Source organism: Homo sapiens, chromosome 15, assembly GCF_000001405.40.
Source record: "Homo sapiens chromosome 15, GRCh38.p14 Primary Assembly".
Taxonomy (NCBI): domain Eukaryota; kingdom Metazoa; phylum Chordata; class Mammalia; order Primates; family Hominidae; genus Homo; species Homo sapiens.
The window spans coordinates 59,327,117-59,350,906 of record NC_000015.10 but is presented as its reverse complement, the minus strand read 5'-3'; the positions used below and the strand labels follow the sequence as shown (position 1 = coordinate 59,350,906).

The following is a 23,790-nucleotide window of genomic DNA, read 5'->3' as shown; positions in this document are numbered from 1 at the left end:
CAAAAAACAAAAAACCAACCAACCAAACAAACAACAACAACAACAAATAAAGACTCATTTCCTGGAAGCCTCTGATTTAACTCGTGGAGATCATTCCCTTCTCCAAATTGTGGCCCTTACCATAGAGTTATTTATTTGTGACTAAACTATGTCATCTTGCATTGTTATCTGTTTTCACACAGTCTCTTACAGCCCAAGTAGACTGTAAGCCTCTTGAGATCAGAGATAATTTACATTTCTTTATATTTTTCAGAATTCACCATCTTTCCCTTTGGCCTTCCCACATTCCTGTACACTCTCGACATTCCCTGGTTATCTGGCAGTTCATATTGGGGAATTATGGTTAGCTGTGGATCAGGCCTCCTCTCCCCACTTTCCTCTCAGTAATGCATGTAGTCTCTGAGGGCAGACACTACATTCTCCTGTGTCTTTTCTGGTTTATTCAATGATAGAGGCTGTACCCTTTATCCTTTTCAATTTCATCTACATTCTTTTCCTTCTCCTGCTCAGTTCTTGGAACTCCCATTTCTGAGTGTCTACGACTACAGTCATGGTGAATAGAAGGTAATGAAACTGTGAGTCAGTGTATCCTCTAGCTGGAGTGTGAAGGTGAGTCAGCAGACAGCAGCAGTGGATCTCTTCCACCCTGAGGAAAGGCAGGAGCCTGCCTGGTGATCAGGGAAGGAGGCCCTCCTCCCCACATTGTTTCCTGGAACTGAGTAGAACAAATTACTTAACTGTACTTCAGTTTCATTTGTTAAAAAATGAAGTAAGAATAGCTTCCATTCTCTTTTCATTCAAGTGGTGATGTATTGACAATTAATAAGAAAATTATAAAATGCCTTAGATACCACCATTGGGACTATGTAACGCACCACAACCTGGTTGTGGCTGAGGCTCTGTTCTAGCCACCCCTCCTTTCTGACTACCACATCGCCCTAAAGTTAGAGGCAATAATAGAGTTACCGCATTAGTGTTTTTCTAACAAACCTGTTCAAGTCCTGGCTCACTAAATTTTAGGGAAATGATATCATTTCTCTCCAGTCTTTTAATAGATTGTCTTTGAAAGAGTTGCATGTTGCCTGTTAAGGAAATGCTTCAGTTGGAAATAATTGAGTAAGGTTAGAAATGGTTCAAGAAAACAGACACATCCCTGCTTGACCTGCTCAGCCTCAAACTTTCATATCTCCTAGTTTGGGGAGGGATGGATGGCAGATGTAGAGTGCCTCAGTTTTTGTTTTGCAGAAAGTTATATCATCATCATGTAGAACAGACATCACAGAACGAAATTAATTAGTAATGCATTCACTGAATTTGGGCAGGATAGTTTGCTTATTTGAAAAAATTCTTGGCAAGGATGAGGATGATTTCTCATCATCCTCCTCCCTAACTCGCTGGGTAATTTAAAGAAGGTTTGTGAGTTGAAATTTTCTGAATAGAGTGGGTTCAGTTTACCCTTTTTTATATGGTAGATTGCTAATAGTGCATTACTGGGAGTGGAGGAAAGACACCCTTTTCTGCCTTAACCCTGAGCTAGAGGAATCACAGCCTTGTCTAGAAGCTAAAGACATAATTATATCCATTTCATATGCAGTATGACAAAATCATTAGAAAATTATAATTGCAAATAGAAAAAATATAGGAGGCATATGCATATATACCTAAGATGTTTATATGGGAAGTTATGGGAGGAAAATGAAATAATTACTAATTAATAATTACTATTAATAAGGTTTCAAATGATCCCCTTTTTTCCCCTTGCCTGGGTGTCCTTCCATCATGTCCAAGTCTTAGATCAGTTTCTAGATCTAGGCTCAACAAAATTCCCTCCCCTGGACCCCCAAGCCTTCCCAGATAGTCACCTTCCTCTTCCATATGTCCATGGCACCTAGTTTGAAATGTTCTTACCTCATGCATCATGTTCTGCCTTGTGTTAGACCCTTTAAGCTTTTGTGTCTCATTAAGATATTGAACTCGGCTGCGTGCGGTGGCTCACGCCTATAATCCCAGCACTTTGGGAGGCCTAGGTGGGCGGATCACCTGAGGTCAGGAGTTTGAAACCAGCCTGACCAACATGGTGAAACCCCATCTCTACTAAAAATACAAAATTGGCCGGGCATGGTGGCGCATGCCTGTAATCCCAGCTGCTCGAGAGGCTGAGGCAGGAGAATCACTTGAACCTGGGAGCCGGAGGTTGCAGTGAACTGTGATCGTGCCATTGCCCTCCAGCTTGGGCAACAGAGTGAGACTCCATCTCAAAAAAAAAAAAAATGATATTGAACTCCAAGGAGCAGAAGTTGTTTCTGACATATAGCCAATGGTCTTTATCCAGCTAAAATTCACCCGTAGTGCTTTTTAAAAATGACAACCCTTGGGCACCATCCTAGACCAAAAGGATTCAGACACAACTGTATTACTTTTCAAAGCTTCCTGGATGGTTCCTAAAAGCAGCCTAGGTTGAGAGCCACTGTTGATGGATGTTTAAGCATTGTGGGCTATGCCATAATTTGATGCAACACCAAATGCAAACTGATCAGGATGTATTTTTGCCATGCTGCAACACACCATGTAACTTAGGAAGTTTTGTGGTTTTGGCGTTTTTGGTTAGGGAGGGTATTATTTAATACAGCTGACTTGAATAAATAGGAAACTAGTTCCCAGGGGACTTTACAAAAGGTAAGCCTTTGTGTGACTAGCACCTGGGGGGTTTCATCGCTGTCAAGGCTATGGTAGTTTTACCACCTGCATTCTCTTACCTCCTCCCCACTGTGGCATTGACCCTAGACCAGAGGCCTCCAAAACATGGCGAGGCATCAAAACCACCTGAGGAGGTGATTCAGCAGGTTTGGGATGAGGCTTCAAAATCTGTTTTTCACCAGGGTTCCAGGTGATTCCAGTGGAAAAACTGATAGGAGAGCCGCTGCTTTACAGCTGTGTGGAATTGAAAATGACGTGGGTCTTGGATCATAAGCAGCAGGGTGTTTTTCTTTTCCTAGATTGTCTTCCTTAACCCCAAATTATGTAATTACATACATATTTTCTCTAGAACTTTTTTGTATTTTTAAATTTTAGCTCCTTATGTCACCCGAAATTTACTTTTCTGGTGTGAGGGGTATAATTTTTTCCAAATGCATGGTTAGTGGTCTTAAAAATAATTTATTCACTGGTGCATTCTTTGTCTCCTGTTGTGAAGTGCCACCTTTATCTTATGTTAAATTCATATCTATCATATGTTTCTAGCCTCTTCTGTTTCCTTGATCCTTTTCTTTATTCCTAAACCAGTTGCTAGTACCACATTCTATAATTACTCTAGTTTCGGAATATGTTTTAATTTTTATTTTTGGCAAGACTTTACTAATTAAATTCCTTTTTAAGTGAGTTCTTGGCAATTTATACTCATTTACTCTTCCAGATAAAATTTAGAATCAATGTGTCAAAGTTCCATAAGAAAATCTCTTTGGAACTTTGGTTGGAGTAGCATGAACCCTCTAGAGCAGCAGTCCCCAACCTTTTTGGCACCAGGGACCGGTTTCGTGGAAGACAGCTTTTCTGCAGCCTGGGGTGTGGAGTGGGGATGGTTTTGGGAGAAAACTGTTCCACCTCAGATAATCGGTATTAGATTCTCATTAGAAGCGCGCAGCCTGGATCCTGCGTATATTCGGTTCACAATGGGCTTTGTGCTTCTATGGGAATCTAGTGCTGCTTTGATCTTACAGGAGGCGGAGCTCAGGCGGTAATGCTTGCTCACCAGCCACTCACCTGCTGCTGTGCAGCCCGGTTCCTGACAGGCCACTGCCAGCACGGGTCCATGGCCCCGGGGTTGGGAACCCGTGCTCTAGAGCACTTTGAGAAGGTGAACGTCTTTGTAACTGATGCCTTATACCCACAGACATGGTGTCCTTCCCCATCAGCCCTTCTTTCAGGGGCCTCCATTCATCTTTATGCTTTTCTTTACACAATTCTTTCACTTTTTTTTTTTTTTCTTTTTGGGAGACAAGGTCTCGCTCTGTCACCCAGGCTGGAATGCAGTGGCATGATCAGGGCTCACTGCAACCTCCACCTCCTGGGATCAATCAATCCTCCCATCTCAGCCTCCTGAGTAGCTGGAACTACAGCTGTGTGCCTTCATGCCCAGCTAATTTTATTTGTTTATTTTGTAGAGATAAGGTTTTGCCATGTTACCCAGGCTGGTCTTGAACTCCTGGGCTCTAGTGATCCTCCAAAAGTGCTGGGATTACAGTCGTGAGACACCATGCCCAGCCATCTTCCCCATTTCTTAAGTTTATTACTGGCATTTTATTACCCTTGTTACTGATTTGAATGGGATATTTCCTAAAACATTGTCTTTTGAAAATATTAATAATTTTATCCATAGTTCTTATAATTTAATGGATATCATGTCATAACCCACAGAATTACAAGAATCTCCCTCACCTGAATATAGAGGGATTGTAGCATTTTGAGGCATTCCATTTTTTACTCTTGCTTCAAAAACATGAGACAAAACAGGTTCTCCTCAAGTGTCCCAGTGCACTCTTCTTCATTAATAGAGTGGCCTGGGCTATGGGGCCGTCATTCGTAGGCTCTTTGGCAGGGTTGCAGAAGGAGCTGAGTCTGGGCTGAATGTGATCCATGGTGGGACACAGCCTGCAGTTCGTGCTTCTGAATAGGTCCCTGGTCGGGGGCTGGATGTTCAGTGATGCACCTCGTCATCCTGAGGTCAAGAAAGCACAAGTGGAAGAAGGGGAAAGATGTGTTAATTCTGCCTAGCTGAATGAGGGATTCAGAAGTGGGAGCCAGACCTTTGCTTACAATCTCAGAAGGAAAAAATGTTGATTCCAGGAATCAAGTAATTCTAAGAACCAATTATATAAAAAGTGTTTTGCAAACTATAAAGTGATATTCACTCACATGCATTCGGAAGTACTACCTCCACGTGTTTTAGCTGCATTTGAAAGTCTTTTAGAAAGAAAGCAATGCAACTGCTGGATAAAACCTCATCCCTCTACCCCAGAATTGTTGTCACAGCTTTAAGGAAGTTTTATGTGAAAGCAGAGGAAAGTAACAGTAACTCTTTAATCCAGACATGTGTCTAAACCATGGATAACTCACAGAAGGCCTTAGAGACTCTGAGAATTGGTAAATATTCTATACATCCTTAGCATCCACAGGCTAAATACCCCTCCATTCCCTGAGTCAGGGCATGCCAGCTGTTAACAATGTTCTATTCCTGGTACCTCTCTCTTTGCATTTCCCTGTCTTTCCTCAATCATCTTGTATCACAGGAAGTATAAAAGTAGTTAGGCAGTTCTATTTTTTGACAGCAGATGAAAAGCCAAAGTTAAAGGTCAATGCTTAACCCACTGGCTTCTAATAAGCTGGTAAAGCTGGGCAATATAGTAAGACCCCTATTTCTAAAAACATTTTTTTAATTAGCTGAGTGTGGTGGCACATGTGCCTGTAGTCCCAGCTAATCAGGAGGCAGAGGCAGGAGAATCCCTTGAGCACAGGATTTTGAGGCTCCCCAAGAGAAAGCTGAGGCTCAGAGAGGGTAATGTGTGGTAAGAGTTAAACTCTCAGTCCTGATACCTTTGCTTTTTTATGCTGTATTTCTTCTGCAATATTCTGCACTTTGCTTAGGTTTTTTTTTTTTCTCTCTCTCTCATTTAAATACTTCAACTGCCTGTCTGATCTGTTAGCCATTCTGTGTACCATTATCTGATTGCTTTTAGAAAAGAGCTTCCAGTGGGCTCAATGTGTTTAATCTGCTGTGGCTTCTGAAGTCCCTCATCTTCAGGGAGAAGTGGCTCTTCTGTCTACCCGATTGGTCAAGCCTCTTTCTTTCTTGATGTTTTTTCTTCATAAAAAGTTAGGCATTTAAAATTTTTTCTGTTTGTCTTTCTAAATAAAGTACTTCAAGTTATTTTGAAAGCTCTGGTCATATCCTATCAATATGCAAACAGATGAGTTGATTTTTAAAAAATGACATGCTGGTTTGAGTTCTTGGTCTTTTAGTACCTATTGATTCTAGTGCCTATTGACTGGCTAATGGCTGCTTGTATTTATTGAATCTAAATATTATGCTCTTTGATTGGTGGTGCCCTGGCAGCACTCCCCGTGGGCCTGTGGGGTGGAGAACACGGGAAGAGATACCTGCTTGGGGAAAGGTGGGAGGTAAGAGTGGGAAGGACTTTGGTGGTTTTGGTGCCAGCTTAGCCACAGTAGAATAAAGTACTCAGTAGATTTCTAACATTTCTGACTCCAGACCCTGGTTCCCTGATAGCATCTCTGGACCTACCTGGGCCCAGGGCTGTCCTGAAGGAAAGGACACAAGCCTAGCTGGCTTCACTACTTGATGATTGTAGAGCCCTAGGGCCTTGAGGGAACATAGGCCAGATAATTATACAGGCCTTGGGCAAGACCCAGTGTTGTGCTGGCTTCAGGTCAGACCTGCAGTCCCCAGTGGTGGTGGCCATAGGGGTGCTTTTGTCACCCTTCCCCTAGCTCCACACATCTCAGCACAGAGAGCAAAACTCTGTTTGGGAAAAAGTAAAGGAAAAGAACAAGAGTCTCTGCCTGGTAATCCAGAGAGTTCTTTTGGATCTTACACAAGACCACCAAGGCAGTACCTCTACGAGTCCGCAAGAACTACAGTGTTACTGGGCTTGGGGTACCCCATAATGCAGATACGGCTGTGGTGTCCACAAACTTAGATCATAACAACCAAGTCCCTTTGAATACTTGGAAAGCCTTCCCAAGAAGGATGGGTACAAACAACTCCAGATTGTGAAGCCTACAATAAATTCTTAACTCTTCAGTGCCTAGACATCCATGAATATCCACAAGCATCAAAACCATCTGGGAAAACATGGCCTTACCAAATGAAATAAATTGACCAGGGGTCAATCCCAGAGAGACAGAGATATGGGACCTTTCAGAAAGAGAGCTTAAAATAGCTGTTTTGAGGAAACTCAAATTCAAGGTAACACAGAGGAGGAACTCAGAATATTATCAGATACATTTAACAAAGGAATTGAAGTAAGTTAAGAGAATCAGGCAGAAATTCTCGAGCTGCTGAATGCAATTGACGTACTGAAGAATGCGTCAGAGTCTGTTAGTAGCAGAACTGATCAAGCAGAAGAAAGAATTAGTGAGCTTGAAGACAGACTATTTGAAAATACACAGTCAGAGGAGACAAAAGAAAAAAGAATAAAAAAGAATGAAGCCCACCTACAAGATCTAGAAAATAGCTTCAGAAGGGCAAATCCAAGAATTATTGGCCTTAAAGGAGGTAGAGAGAGAGAGATAATGGTGGAAAGTTTATTCAAAGGGATAATAAGATAACTTCCCAAACAAAAGATATCAAAGTTTAAGTACAAGAAGGTTATAGAACACCAAGCAGATTTAACTAAAAGGAAATTACCTCAAGGCATGTAATAACAAAACTCCCAAAGGTCAAGGATAAAGAAAGGATCCTAAAAGCAGTAACAGAAAATAAACAAATAACATATGATGGAGCTCCAACACGTCTGGCAGCAGACTTTTCAGTGGAAACTGTACAGGCCAGGAGAGAGTGGCATAAAGTGCTGAAGCATTAAAAAAAAAAAAAGAGTTCACTCTAGAATGGTATATCTGGCAAAAATATCCTCCAAACATGAAGGAAAAATTAAGACCTTCCCAGACAAACAAAAGCTGAGGGATTTATCAACCCCAGGCCTATCCTACAAGAAATGCTAAAGGGAGTTCTTCAATCTGAAAGAAAAGGATGTTAACAAGCAATGAGAAATCATCTGAAGGTACAAAACTCACTGGTAATAGTAAGTACACAGAAAAACACAGAATATTATAACAGTATAATAGTAGTGTGTAAACTATACATATCTCAAATAGAAAGATGAAAGGATGAACCCATAAAAAATAATAACTTTTCAAGGCATAGACAGTACAGTAAGATAAATAGAAACAACAAAATGTTAAAAAGTGGGGAGACAAAATTATAGAGTTTTTATTGGTTGTCTTTTTGCTTTTTGTTTATGCAATCGATGTTAAGTTGTGATCAGTTTAAAATAATGGGTTATAAGATGTTATTTGCAAGCCTCATGGTAACCTCAAATCTAAAAAACATACAACAGGTACACAGAAAATAAAAAGGAAGAATTTAAAATGTGCCAACTGAGAAAATCACCTTAAAGGAAGATAGGAAAGAAGGACAGAAGGAAGAGAAGACCACAAAACAACCAGACAACAAATAACAAAGTGGCAGGAGTAAGGCCTCACTTATCAGTAATAACATTGAATGTAAATAGACTAAACTCTGCAATCAAAAGACATAGAATAGCTGAATGGATAAAAAGCAAGACCCAAGGATCTGTTGCCTACAAGCAACACACTTCACCAAATCAAATGAAAATGGATGAATGACCTAAATCTAAGACTTCAAACTATGAAACTACTAAAAGAAAACATTGGGAAGACTCCAGGACATTGGTCTAAGCAAAGATTTTTTGGACAAATGGGATCACATCAAGTTAAAAAGCTTCCTTCCACACAGCAAAAGAAAAAATCAACAAAATGAAGAGACAACCCACAGAATGGGAGAAAATATTTGCAAACTTTCCATCTCACAAGGGTTTAATCACCAGAATACAGAAGGAACTCAAATAACTCTGTAGGAAAAAATCTAATCTGATTTTAAAATGGGCAAAAGATATCAATAGACATTTCTCAAAAGAAGACATACAAATGGCAAACAGGTGTATGAAAAGGTGCTCAACACCACTGAAAATCAGAGACATGCCAATGAAAACTACAATGAGGTATCATCTCACCCAAGTAAAAATGGCTTTTATCCAGAAGACGGGCAATAATGAATGCTGGCAAGGATGTGAAGAAAAGGGGAAAAGGGAACTCTCATACACCGTTGGTGGAAATATAAATGAGTATAGCCACTGTGGAGAACAGAAGGGCGGTTCCTTAAAAACTAAAAACAGAGCTAGCTACCTTATGATCCAGCAATTCCATTGGTAGGTGTATACCTTAAAGAAAGGATATAAGCATATGGAAGAGATAGCTGCACTCCCATGTTTATCCTAGCACTATTCACAATAGCAAATATTTGGAATCAACCTAAGTGTCCATCAAATGATGAATGAAATCATTCATCACATAAAGAAGATGTGGTACAGATACACAACAGAGTACTAATCAGCAATAAAAAAGAATGAAACCCTGTCATTTGTCATTTGCAAGAATATGAATGGAACTGGAGGTCATTATGTTAAGTGAAATAAGCTAGGCACAGAAAGACAGATTTCATATTTTCTCACTTATTTGTGGGAGCTAAAAATTAAAAGTATTGAACTCATAGAGATAGGGAATAGAATGATGGTTACCAGAGGCTGGGAAGGAGAACTGGGGAGACAGGGGTTATGGTTAATGGGTACAAAGAAATAGTTAGAAATAATAGAATGAATAAGAGCTAGCATTTGCATGCTCACAGTAACACGTATACTAAAATTGGAATGACACAGAGAAGATTAGCATGGCTCCTGAGCAAGGATGTCATGCAAATTCATGAAGTGTATTTTAAATGTTATTGAAAAAAAAAATCTAGTGTTTGCTAGCACAACAGAAAGACTATAGTCAATAATAATTTGTGCATTTAAAAATAACTAAAAGAGTATTACTGGATTTTTTGAAACACAAAGGATAAATCCTTGAGGGTGTGGATACCCCATTTTCGATCATGTGATTATTACACATTGCATGCCTGTATCAAAATATCCATATACACCTACTTATATATGCCCAAAAATTAAAAATTAAAATGAATTTTATGTTCTTTGAAGATTTTTCTTTTTTTCTTTTTTTTCTTTTTTTTTTTTTTTTTTGAGATGGAGTCTCGCTCTGTCCCAGGCTGGAGTGCTGTGGCGGGATCTCAGCTCACTGCAACCTCTGCCTCCCCTGTTCAAGCTTTTCTACCTCAGCCTCCCGAGTAGCTGGGATTACAGGTGTGTGCCACCACGCCCAGCTGATTTTTGTATTTTTAGTAGAGATGGGGTTTCACCATGTTGGCCAGGCTGGTCTTGAACTGCTGACCTCGTGATCCTCCCGCCTCAGCCTCCCAAAGTGCTGGGATTACAGGCATGAGCCACCATGCCTGGCTGAAGATTTTTCTTAAATCCTTCCTGATTTTATTCCTGAATAAAAACCAAATATTATAAAGTTAGTTTTACTTTGGACATTAAATGTCCAAGCAAATTAGAAATAAAAAATAGTAAGAGGAGTAATGAACTTAGAAACGGCAGTTATTTGCAAAGGCAATTGTAAACATGTCATTTGATGCTACTGTTATTTGATACTACACATGGTAAAAACACAGTGAGTGACGTCATAGAAAACCAACTCAAGTATTACTTTTTCCTGACAATTTTCCTCCTCCTTCCAATAGTCCATAGAAATTAGACTGTCTAGAGAAAGTAAAACAAAAACACAGCACATCACGGAAATAGAACCTCAAAAAAAAAAAGGTTAATGTGAAAAGTTTGCCTTATTTAATTTAACGATCAGGCGGGGTTTAAAAAATTGCTATTTTTTTTGAGACAAGGTGTCGCTTGTCATCCTGGCTGGAGTTCAGTGGCACGATCATGGCTCACTGCAGCCTCGATCTCCTGGGTTCAAGCGATCCTCATGCTTCTCGATTATAGGTTGCACACCACCATGCCCAGCCAATTTAAAAAATATTTTGTAGAGGTCAGATGCAGTGGCTCATGCCTGTAATCCCAGCACTTTGGGAGGCCGAGACAGGCAGATCACCTGAGGTCAGGAGTTTGAGACTAGCCTGGCCAACATGGCAAAATTCTGTCTCTACTAAAAATACAACAACAAAAAAATTAGCCAGATGTGGTAGCGGACACCTGTAATCCCAGCTACTAGGGAGGCTGAGACAGGAGAATTGCTTGAACCCAGAAGGCAGAGGTTGCAGTAAGCCGGGATTGTGCCACCGCATTCCAGGCTAGGCGACAGAGCAAGACTCTGTCAAAAAAAAAAAAAACAAAAAAAAGTATGTATATATAAAATTTTGTAGAGAAGGTATCTCGCTATATTGTCTAGGCTGGTCTTTAACTCCTGGGCTCAAGCAGTCTTCAGGCCTTGGCCGCAAAACTGCTGGGATTACAGGCTGGAGCCACCATACATGGACTGAATTTTTAAAATTCTTAGTAGGGAGACCTTTTAATTGGAAGTTGACTATAGGAACGAGAAGGAAACTGGGTGACTGAACAACCCTATTAGGAGAGAAACACAGATGAATCAACATGAAGAATGTCTGGGATGGGAGCCTAACATGCCCAGAGCTGCCCTTTTGTGTCTCTTGGGAGGGGCTGTGTTCTGGATGAAGGCAGTCAATAGGAGGCTGGACTACTGTGAATATCGGGGTAGTGAAGTTGAGAAATACCAATTCTACAGTATGGAGTCAGTTAGGTCAAAGGTTTTGTACGTCAAATAACCAAGCTATCTTACATTTCTGTCTCCATTTGGAAACCAGAAGGTCAGTCAAATATTTGGTTAGAAAACCAGGAACAGGAAAACATCTCTTGTTACACATAAAATCTGTATCCAAGCACTGTGTATCATTCCACACCATCCATTAGAACCAGTGGAGAGGAAGGCTCTGAAAGGTTTCTGTCTATTGAGGTTTGATAAAATGGAAGAGTTTAGTACCCATTATTACTACTTCAAGTTGAATAAAATGTGTCATTGACATTTTCTTTTTTTGAGACAGAGTCTTGCTCTGCCACCCAGGCTGGAGTGCAGTGGCACAATCTTGGCTCACTGCAACCTCTGTATCCCAGGTTCAAGCAATTCTCATGCCTCAGCCTCCCCAGTAGCAGGGATTACAGGCATGTGCCACCACGCCTGGCTAATTTTTGTATTTTTAATAGAGATGAGGTCTCGCCATGTTGGCCAGGCTGGTTTTGAACTCCTGGCCTCAGGTGATCCACCTGCCTCGGCCTCCAAAAATGCTGGGATTACAGGCATGAGCCACAGCGCCCAGCCTGATGTTTTATTTATAGGGTGCACTCTTCATTGTTTAAATGTCTATTTTTAGATGTTGATAGACCTTTGTAGGTAGTTTCACCCCTGTCTTTGGTTCTCTTGCACTGTTTGCCCCATATCATTCTAAATTTTTACCCAAATGGGTTTTCAAGGACCTTGCTCCTCCTGCCTGTGGGAAGTGGTTACAGGTTAGCAATAGTTGAAACTCCCCTACTGTTTTTCCCAGCTTAGCAGGGTGGTTGGAGACCAGCCCCAATACTCCTGAGAGCCCATAGAGACAGTCCTGGCTCAGCACTGAGGACATCTTGCAGGCAGGGTTGGCTGAGTGTTTTATGGAGCGAGCTTAAGAGGAGATGTTCTAAAACCAGAGAGGAAACATTTTTCTCTGTTCTCTGCAATTCAGCAGGTGATATCCCTTCATGGATTTATAATAAACACAGTCCTCTCATTGACCAAGGTTGAAAAACTCAGAAAGTTTGCTCAGCACAGATCTGGGAGTCAGGAACGTACTATGTGCTGTGGAAGACATTTCAACTCCTCTTTCAAGCAAAAAAAAAAAAAAAAAGTCAATACTGATCTAGTTTATATAGCTATTATAAAAAATTATATTAATGAAAATAGAAATTCATTTGTAAGTAGAGACAGCTACCAAATTCCTAAGCAATCTATTCATTTTTGTTTTTTTTTTTAGACTTGAACACTTTTTCTTGCCTTGCCTCACAATGCAGTTGTCAATATAGGGCCACTTTAGTTACACCTATTACCTGACTCTGCAAAGACCACAGAGCTTATTTCCTTTAGAAGGATTTTGTTTGATTAATTTACACTCTTCGCTGACATTTCTCAGTTGAGTAGGAGGAAAAAAAGGAGTTTAATTTAACCATATTAGCCACATCATGGACAGGGAAATGTATGGAGGATGTTTAAGTGATTTGCCTTATTGAGTAAAGATATATCTAAGCTTAGATTTTACTTTGTCCTATAAGAACTCTGTGAGCGAGATTTTTTTTTCTTTTTTGAGATGGAGTCTTGCTCTGTTGCCTAGGCTGGAGTGCAGTGGCACGATCCCAGCTCACTGCAACCTCCACCTCCTGGGTTCAAGCGATTCTCCTGCCTCAGCCTCCCGAGTAGCTGGGATTACAGGAGCAAACCACCACGCCCGGCTAATTTTTTATACTTTTAGTAGAGACGGGGTTTCTCCATGTTGGTCAGGCTGGTTTCGAACTCTTGACCTCAAGTGATTTGTCTGCCTTGGCTGCCCAAAGTGCTGGGATTACAGGCGTGAGCCACTGTGCCCAGCCGAGCGAAATATTTTTGACTATAGTAGTCTGAATGTTCTTTTAAGTTTCATAATGTAGGCTAAAGCTCTATTTTCTGCCAAATGCGAAATTGTAGAACAGAATAAAACCATGTGCTTTATATTATACGAATTATATCTGATGAATGTTCATGTTTAGAAAAATCACAATCAAGCTCAGCAGTTGTAGATATGGATAACACAACTCCATTCCTGAGCAGAGCAGGTTTCATCATAATTGCCTGCCTTATGTTTTGTTTTCATACCTGTAGTAAACTTAGGAAACTTAAAAATTATTCAATAGAAATTTAGAGTGTGGAGCCCTGGTTTGAATCCTGGCTCTTGTCATCTTAATCAGTTCCCTCCATTTTTACATCTGTAAAACGGAAATATTCATAATAATAAAACACCTCCATAAGAATCAAATGAAATAAAGTAGAAGTGCTTTGTAAAAGATAAACAATTCAATAACTGTACAATTCAGTAACTGCAAGGAGGTATTATATAAGCATAGATTTTTTTTTTTAAAACTAGGAGTTGTCAACCCAAATGTCCATCAATGATAGACAGGATAAAGAAAACGTGGCACATATATACTGTGGAATACTATGCAGCCATAAAAAAGGATGAGTTCATGTCCTTTGCAGGGACATGGATGAAGCTGGAAACCGTCATTCTCAGCAAACCAGCCTAGGAGCAGAAAACCAAACACCGCATGTTCTCACTGACAAGTGGGAGCTGAACAATGAGAACACGTGGACCAGGGAGGGGAACATCACACACTGGGGCCTGTCAGGGGGTGGGGGGCTAGGGGAGGGGTAGGAGAATTATCTGATGTAGATGATGGGTTGATGGATGCAGCAAACCATCATGGCACGTGTATACCTATGTAACAAACCCGCACGTTCTGCAAATGTATCCCAGAACTTAAAGTATAATTAAAAAACAAAACAAAACAAAAAAAGACCAGGGGTGTACTATGTGAATTACTGGAGGTATCAGAGAATTCTCAGATGATCCAACACATGTCCAAAATTCAAGTACTATTAAAAACACATAATTTTAAAAATAAAAGTTACTTATGAAAGCCTGACTGCTAGTTTTAAAGGGACATAAATAAACCTTATTTACCTTATTTATGTATGTCCCTTTGAATCTAGGGTTTTTTCTTTTCTTTTTTTTGAGACAGCGTTTCACTCCCATCACCGAGACTGGAGTGCAGTGGCATGATCTCGGCTCACTGCAACCTCCATCTCCTGGGCTCAAGCAATTCTCCTGCCTCAGCCTCTGAGTAGCTGGGACTACAGGGCCACGCCATCGCACCCAGCTAATTTTTGTATTTTTTTTAGACATGGCGTTTTGGCATGTTGTCCAGGCTGGTCTCAAACTCCTAGCCTCAAGTGATCTGCCCGCTTCAGCCTCCCAAAATGTTGGGATTACAGGCCTGAGCTACTGCACTCGGCCTAGTTTTTTTTTAATTCCAGAAAAAGTTTCAAGATTTTTTTTTTTTTTTGCTTTTGTGTTAATATTTTGGGTGTAGTGGGAGAGGGGGTAGCACACTTGAGTTGCTGCAGGACTTGTTTTTTTGTGTGACCAGAGAGAGCCCACAGCACACAGCCGGGTTCTCATTGGAAAGGCATCAGAACAAGTGTGTGCAGACAGCACCGCTTATAGTCCGTGACACTCATTCCTCCGCATGAATCAGGGCCACACATGGCTTCAGATGATACAGGTTCTTTCCTGACATCTCAAGGGGAGTCATTTGAATGCGTCCGTGTCTCTCCCACTACCTCTCAAAATGCCGGACTAAGTTAATTGGTAAATAAATGCTCAGGCTGCTTAGCAGTGGCCTATCTCTGAGGCATGAGGTCTAATATAGTTTAAATGTAAGTCCATCGTGGCCTCCAAGTAGCTAGGAAAACAGGTGGGGGACTTCAAAGAGATCTGAGAGCAAGCCTGGCCGGGTCTCTTGTACTTTTCCAGCCCTGGCTTATGTGTGGGACAATGGTGAAAAGCAGCCCTTGAGGTAGAACCAAGTGGGTTTTTTTTTTATTCATATTCGGCACAGATTTATTGATGCAGAAAACATGCTCTCCTGATGTGGCCACAGAATCATCACTTGCTTCTTTCAAAATCCGTAAAATCTTGCATTCTGTGGTATTTGGCAGATTACATCTCATACTGTAGCAGCCTGCGCTTGCCAGCTGAAGTGTCTGAAAGTAGCTTGGAGTCGTTTTCACACTCTTTGATGCTAGTCCACCTTTTACTACATACCAAGGATAGTACATATATCCACCAAGTGGTGCCAAATCTTGTTCTTTATTCTTCTTAAATTTGAACGTCAAAATTGCACTTTAATAATAAAAATATAAAGCCATGAGCTATGCAAATAATGAATAAAGATTATTCTGAGTAGGCTTAGATGCCACAAGAATGCCCTTGTTTTTCTCTTTCACGGTTTGACCCAGTGTGGTGTGAATGTTCTCTTTGAGACAATCTTTGTGTTAAATCTTTACACTAATAAATGTGTTAGAACTTCTTCAGGGATATTCTTAGCGAGGAGGAGTTGGTGGATGTGTTTTTTGCAAATAGGCTTCCTTTGTCTGCTTGGCAATTCTCTATGAGGTTTCTGAAAGTGTGACCTGTACGTGAGACATCTAAGTGGATGGAGCAAAATGAGGGAGACATATATGCCAGTCTGATAAGTAAATCATTCTTGTAGTCAGTGTGGAAGAGTTGGCAAATTTCTCTCTGATTTCCTTCTGTTTTTGACCCTGCCAGGCTGAACCCAAAGACCCAGCATTGTGACTGGAAGGGCCTGCGAAAGAAAGCCCTTGCCAAGTGATCTCTGTATAATCGTCTTTCAGAGACTTAATAAGCTTTGGAGAATATTTGGATGAAGTTGGCAGTTTTATTGATACCATCTGATTCTACTTTGGTCCTGTAGCAGTTTCTGCCACTTTGTCACCAGTGGGGGGAATATGCTGTTACCATAATGGAAAAGGAGGACATTTGGTAGCATTTTTCTGTGTTTATGTCAGGAGTCGTCTAAAATGGTCATTTTTTTTTTTTTTTAAGAAAAACAACATATGCGTACAAAGTAGGTGTATATATTTATGGGGTACATGCAATATTTTGATACAGTCCTACAATGCATAATAATCACATCAGGATAAATGGGGTATCCATCACCTTAAGCCTTTATAATTTCTTTGTGTTACAAACATTCCAATTATACTTTTAGTTATTTTTACTTATTTATTTATTTTGAGACAGGGTCTCATTTGGTTACCCAGGCTGGAGTGCAGTGATGCAATAATCATGGTTCACTGCAGCCTTGACCTCCTGGGCTCAGGTGACCCTCCTGCTTCAGCTTCCTGAGTCGCTGGAACTACAGGCGTGTGCCACCATGCCAGGCTAATTTTTAAAGTTTTTGTACAGATGGAGTGTCACTATGTTGCCCAGCCGGGTCTCAAGCGATCCTTCCACTTTGGTCTCCCAAAACATTGCTATTACAGGTGTGAGTCATTGTGCCCCACTGACGAGAGGTTCTTCATATTTCTTTTATATCCACTGCCACAAAACTGAGTGCAATTGGTCTATTCAGTCAGGAAGTCGCTTACCTTTCATGTGCTTCCCTATTACCTGGGCATATTTCCAGGGGGTTTCAGAGGAAGAAGTAGCTCTTTCCTATGAGGATATATGCTGGTTCTGAAGTGTTTACTTAGATGCATAGTGGAAGCTCAAAAAATATTTACTGAACTCACTCTTGTGGTTTAGCTTTCAACTATAAACATAGGAATAAAGGGAGAAAAAAGCATGAAAAACTAGAAGCTGAAAGCCAGGCAGGAAGAGAATGGATCTAGAAAGAAGTAGGAAGTCCATTTGCTCAGAGGAAGGATACCCACTCACCAATGGGAAATAGGTCCAGTGTTGTGTGGTAGGGTTGTGGGTAGTAGTAGTAATTTCACAATGGGTGTGGGAGGTTGGTGAGTAGATGGACTAGATTCAAAAGTAGATACCTCGCTCTCACCTATAGCCTAGCAGTTTGGGAGGCCGAGACAGGAGGATCGCTTGAGCCCAGAAGTTTGAGATTAGCCTGGCCAACATGGCAAAACTCCATCTCTACAAAAAATACAAAAATTACCCAGGCGCGGTGGTGGAGTGCCTGTAATCCCAGCTACTCCGGGGGTTGCTGTGGTGGAGGATCACTTGAGCCTGGGAGTTCAAGGCTGCAGCCAGCCAAGATTGCACCACTGCACTCCAGCCTGGGTAACAGAGCGAGGCCCTGTCTCCAAAAAAGAAAAAGAAAAAGAAAGAAAGTAGATAGTGATGAAGCTGGATAGTTAAAACAGAAACTTGAAAAGCAAGATGTGGAACTGGGATATAGGATTTCAGAGTTTAAAAGAAATGTGACATTTCTTAGTGGATTGTCCTTCAGTTGTGTTTACTAAGCAACTGTCAGCTAGTGAGATTACTGTGTATGGCCAATCCAGATAAATAAGACGATCAAGTCTTTATGAAAAGGAAAGAAAAATTTGGAATGCACATCTCTGTCCAGCTCAATTCCTCACTCCTTTTTTAAGATGGAGAGCTGTTAGGTTTGTCTACACAGTAGGAAACACCTGATTAAATAACAGCATGGAGCCAATCTTGACAAAGAAATTGGCTGCATCCAATAGAATCCCAGGGCCGGTCGTGGTGGCTCATGCCTGTAATCCCAACACTTTGGGCGGCCGAGGTGGGAGGATCACTTGAGCTTTGGTCTCAGGGCTTTGAGACCAGCCTGGACAGCATAGTGAGACCTCGTCTCTAAAAAATTAAATTAAAAAAAAAAATAGAGCGCCAGCAAAGTCAATTCCTGAACTCTCTTCTGTTCAGTAGTAGCAAAAATGCCTGATCTAAGTGATGGGGAAAGTTAGTTTATGTGGCTGTAGCATCAGACACATCACTGACAATCCTGCTGTGGATTTATAGCACAGGGGACACTACATCTAGAAACACCTGTCTGTGGACTGCTGCTGCTGTCAGGTTAGTAATCTGTGTATTCTAATGAGAATGGACGTGGCCTCCCTAGTGTCAGCCACATAATGGAAATCCTAGATCAGCATGCTTACTTCTTCCCATCTAATTGCAAGTTGTAATTTGTAAATAATGGGTTTACTTTTTAATTTTGAGAAGGTAAATGTGTTGCTGTACAAAAGCCCAGGATTCCTTCCCGTTAAATCGGCAGCATTCTTGGACACAGTAAATCCTATCACACACTTTTGTCTCACAAAAGAAGTAGCGGCAGTTAGAAGACTTTGAATTCTCCCTTACCCGTGACTTTGAGCAAGTGATTTAACCTCTCAGACAACACAGTTCCTCATTTGCAAAATGGAAATAATGTCTACATTATCTATTTCTACTCACAGAGTTGTTTTAGGACACAAAATGGTAAAGGAAGGAAAAGCTAAGTTACTGCAACATGGTAGGATACTTTTGCTTTTAAATTTAATTTATACGCATCCCAATTTTTATCTAGAACCTAGATTTCAGGCTAAAGAAGAGAGCCGTTGGGCTTCATTCCACTTGTAGTAGCCTCACGTTACCCTTACTGTGAAATTAGTCTTTGTTTCCTTTCATCTCTTTTGAATATCACCCTTGCCCTGCAATAATAAAAGAGAGCTGCATGCAGTGAAATCAAACCATGAAATTATAGAATTGTAGAGCCAGAACTAGCTACATATAAACAGAAAAGAAAATTTGATTGAAACATTAATAATTTTCATCAAGGTGAAAATGACTGACAGGTATTACTTTAACAGAGTTATTTATACTTTTTAAAGATGTGCTACTGACCTGTTAACCTAATGAAATTTAGATGGTGGAAGGGATATAAGTTGTTGAAAATTTGGGATTCATTTCTTTCCATCTTAGTATTTTTGGAGTGGTAGAGTGCTGTGTCTACATACCTTTGTAATAAAAAACAATTTGGGGCTGGTGTTGATAATCAAGTTGATTGCGATCTCTAGGAGAGGAGAGTCTATCTGATCTTTTTCTTGCCGTTTGTATATATTGTTCTACCTCTCCCATCTCATCTGAAATATGGGGCAGTTTCTTGGTTCTCAGTTGTTTCTTTTCTGATATGTTGCTGACCTCTGATTTCTCATATCAGTGCTCTTCCCTTAGTTCAGAGATGTTTCCCCAGTTGTAGATGGGGGTTGGAAAAGGAAGGTGCTTGTGATTTAAAAGCCCTGTCACTTACTGTGTCCATAATATAGTGAGTCCACCTGTGGACTGAGCAAGGCTGCTGTCACATCTTTCAAGGTTTTCCTCATTGATCCTACATCGGTTTAGCAAAATTCTTCTGTAAAAGGCTAGATAGTAAATATTTTAGGCTTTGTGGACCATACAGTCTCTGTCACAGCTACTCAACTCTGCCATTGTAGCATGAAATCACGTGGCTGTCTTCTAATAAAACTTGGTTTACAAAAACAATCAGACTGGGCGTCGTGGCTCACACCTGTAATCTCAGCACTGTGGGAGGACGACACAGGAGGATTGCTTGAGCCCAGGAGTTCGAGAGCAGCATGGGCAACGTAGGGAGACTCCATCTCCGCAGATTTTTAAAAAGTTAGCTGGGCGTGATGGTGCATGCCTGTGGTCCCAGCTACCTGCAGGGGCTGAGGCAGGAGGATCGTCTGAGGTTGGGAGGTCAAAGTTGCAGTGAGCCATGATTGCACCACTGCACTTCAGCCTAGGTGACAGAGCAAGACTCGGTCTCAAAAAACCAACACAAATAAATAAAAATTAAAAATAATCATTGAGCCAGATTTGGCTCACGGGCTGTAGTTTGCTGACTCCTGTTCTACATGATTTTCATAAAGGTGGGACAGGTGCACTTATAATATTAAATGGAATGGAGGGTGCTATTGTAAATACCTGCAAGTTGAATCAAGGATAGCTTTTTAAAGCAGTTTGCTTAGAAATTTACCTACAAAAGACTATTATTACAGTACCTCCCTGTGCCATGTACCTATAGATTGACTTAGGCAAAAACCTGACAACAGACCTTGGGAATATTTGGGGATATTTACTTTTTCAAGTAATTGAGTTATACGTACTTTGCCTGCCACTTTTTACATTGCATTGCCAATTTAAGTTAACATCACCGACCTAATGTCAGCAATGTTCCACTCTTAAAGCTGGAAACTGGATTCGAGGGTGAGCAAGGAAGGATGAGGAGAGGGAAGTTTACCTTAAATGATCCTTGAAGTCAACATTAGGTACCTTGAGAATGCCTTGCTGCTTGATTTTAAGATCTTCAATTACAGCACTTTGATTCTTAACCTTAAAAAAATTCTCCTTCAGCCATTTCAAGCCATGTGGAATATCTCTTACTGCTTAGGAATTTGCTGTGGTTTTTCATTGACCGTGGCCCCAGACTCTGGAATATGTATTAATTTATCTGGGCAGAGAATACAGAAATCCACATGCAGAATAAAGTGAACTTTATGCTGAAGCAGAATATTGAAGCTGGGAATGGTTAATTCTTAAAAAATAAAGCATCAGCGTTAATAAATATTGAATTCTAAGAAGGTATTTTGCAGTTTGCTTCTTAAAGTACTGAGATAATCTGACTGGGTTCCCATTTAAAAGAGAGAAGTTTTTTCCCTCCATGAATAATATTCGTTTACAGTCATTGGTAAATTATTAATCTGCATTCCAGTGTTTCATGTTTGAAATACCAGTCCGCCCTGTCCATGGGGATTTGATCTCACGCTGTAATCAGCAAAGGGTTCTGGGAAGTGAGAATAGCTGTGGTTTGCTCTTTTAAAGACCTTAGGAGAGAATCAAAAAGTGGTGGTTATTCAGGAAGTTGGCCTGTCCAGCATTTGACGGCTGGCAGTTTTCATATGGAGTCATATGAGACCATGAACTTGGAAGGCACACTAGACTGTGGGAAAGTTTGGGTGGGCTGCTCACCACCCTGTGATTTTCAGAGGTCCTAGAATGTTCTTTAGAGTATTCCTGCAGTTTTTGAATGGATGTCAAATCTCTTTTGGTTTGGGGCTACCCGAAATGTTTACATTCTGAGTCGTTGGTCCATTTTCCTCCAACAATGCACATTTAGGATTGCTATTGGGTACCTAATGAACTGGATTGATCATAAGATTCTCAGGATCTCTGGCCCCAGCTCGACACCACTTTCTAGCTATGGCACGTTAGGTAAGTCCTTTAACCACTCTGACTCTCACACTGAATATAGGTTAGAACAGTATCTACGTCATAGTGTTGCTTGAGGATTAAGAGGAATAATTCATGGGACTTGGCATGAGTCTTTACTAGATTGTAAGCTCCATGGAGGAGCTGTCTTCCCAGTGCCTCCAGCAGTGTCTGGCATATAGTGAGGAGCTCAACACACATTTGTTAAATTAACAGTAAGCATTCAGTCAATGTTAATTGTTACTGTTGTCATGAATAATATTCTCATTATTACTTACATTACCCATTTTGAGTCCTCCGTACCTTCTGTTGATAACAGTCATCTTCGTGAAGCAGCTATGGTGTCATTGATAGGATGCTGAGTTCAAATTCTAACCCTGTCCTGATTAGCTGTGGGCAAAGTTTCTTAACCTCTCTGAACTAGTTTCCTTGTCTGTAAATTGTGATGATAATGCCCTCCCACAGAGTCTAAGAGGGTAACACACCCCTGCCTTAGTTTTCTCAAACGTATGGGTAGAAGTAGCCCTGGGACCTACTCACTTACCAGTGTCTTAGATTTTTCACATGCCCTAAATGCTTAACTCTATAGGCCTTGCATGCTCCACACCAGAGTCTTCTACAGATTGCCCAATATATTGAGGGCTGATGAGGTCCCCTCCACACAGAACAGCTATGTGTAGCAGGTTGATCAAAACATCTGTATTCTGATCAGGGTCATCTCTGCACAGCTGGAGTTGTGTATGTCCTTTAAGTTTCTATAACTGGTCATTATAAAATACTAAGTATAGTAATACTAATTTATGAATTTATGTCTCATGAAATGAAGAGATACCAACAACACAACTGGGGTTTCATAGAGGTTGTAAAAATGAACTTTTTGGCCCCTCTCCCAGTACCAAGCGTGTATTGGGAGAGGGGCCAGAAAGTTCATTGTCTGGTCAATTTGCCACCCCAATGAAGGTGGGTTCCTTTTCAGAAGTCTTGAAGGTTTGAGCCTGGCAATGGATCAAGTTCTCTTTCCTCCTGCAGAATCTCTCTTCTGGTCCACACTCTGGGAGGTAGACGGGACTAAGCAGAAGGTCACTTCCCCAGTGCAAGAAAATGTACTACTCCACTCTCACATTCTACCTTTGGTTTGAGCAAAGGCCACATTTTGCAAGCCCGTTTGCTGCCCAGTTAATCTGTCAGGGTGAACTTTCTCTCACCCTCTGCTGACACCTCTGCCACCCAGCCCCATCTCCTTTGAGAGGGGGAACCCCCCCACCATGGAGCTTTGTGTTTTCCTCCACTTCCTCCTTTTAGCAGGGTAAGCCTCCACACTTCTGCCCAGGCTGTTGGGCCCACCATCTCCTCTTTTAACACAGCTTCCGAAGTGCTGGGGATGGAGAGGGTGTCAATGTGGCAAACGTTCCTTTGCCCACTGATGAGAAGTTTCAGCCCTTCCCAAGACATGTCTGGAAATGGCAGTCCACCCTGGCCTTTCCTTAACTTCACTCCATCCCTCAGCCCCTTCATGTACAAGTTGTCAGCACATCTTGTTATTTCTGCTTATAAAAATACATCGAATCTGACAGCTTTGCCCCACTCTATAGCTGCCCTCCTAATTCAGCGAGCTGGAGAGGCAATTCTCGGTCAGGATGATTTAGGATATTCCTAACTGGTCTCTCTGCCATCCCACTATACCCTCCTGCACTGTCCACTTAACAGTGATGTTTAAAAAGTAAATAAATGGCTGGGCGTGCTGGCTCATACCTGCAATCCCAATACTTTTGGAGGCAGAGGAAGGAGAATTGCTTAAGGCCAGGAGTTTGAGACAAGCCTGGGAAACATAGGGAGACCCCATGTCTATAAATAATAATAATAATAAAAATAGCCAGATGTGGTGATGCACACTTGTGGTCCCAGCTACTCAGGAGGCTGAAGTGAGAGGATTGCTTGAGCCTGGGAGGTCGAGGCTGGCACTGCACTCCAGCCTGGGTGATAGAGTGAGACCCCATCTCTGAAATAAAAAAAAAAAAAGAAAAATGTACAAAGTGCCTTTTAAAAAGCAGGTATATGGAGATGTAAGCAGGCATCAAGGCTAGCAGTGCCCAGCGGTGAGCCACGGCTGCACTGGTGGGTCCATGGGAATAGAAAGCAAAGTCTTGGGTCCACACAAGGTGGAGGATTACATGGGAGACTCCTGCATGGAGGTGTGCACTCTGTGGAAGAGTCAAGTGAGAAAACGC

General features: G+C 41.2%; 1 protein-coding gene and 1 pseudogene across 1 annotated transcript in view, besides 3 other annotated features; both read left to right on the top strand.

Moving 5' to 3' along the window:
• MYO1E (myosin IE) overlaps positions 1-23,790 on the top strand; it is a 240,438-nt gene that overhangs the window by 21,965 nt on the left and 194,683 nt on the right. The gene's annotated exons all lie outside the window — the stretch shown is intronic.
• RNU6-212P (RNA, U6 small nuclear 212, pseudogene) lies at positions 9,490-9,593 on the top strand (annotated as a pseudogene).
• Positions 15,260-15,329: an enhancer, noted in NCBI's record as "active region_9488". NCBI's record gives its function as "activates an Ori minimal core promoter by ATAC-STARR-seq in GM12878 lymphoblastoid cells {active_cell/tissue: GM12878}" and the evidence as "EXISTENCE:reporter gene assay evidence [ECO:0000049][PMID:35858748]".
• Positions 21,824-22,325: an enhancer, noted in NCBI's record as "NANOG hESC enhancer chr15:59620781-59621282 (GRCh37/hg19 assembly coordinates)". NCBI's record gives its function as "activates a minimal SCP1, AML or CMV promoter by ChIP-STARR-seq in naive H9 embryonic stem cells {active_cell/tissue: H9 hESC(naive)}" and the evidence as "EXISTENCE:reporter gene assay evidence [ECO:0000049][PMID:30033119]".
• Positions 22,737-23,086: an enhancer, noted in NCBI's record as "active region_9487". NCBI's record gives its function as "activates an Ori minimal core promoter by ATAC-STARR-seq in GM12878 lymphoblastoid cells {active_cell/tissue: GM12878}" and the evidence as "EXISTENCE:reporter gene assay evidence [ECO:0000049][PMID:35858748]".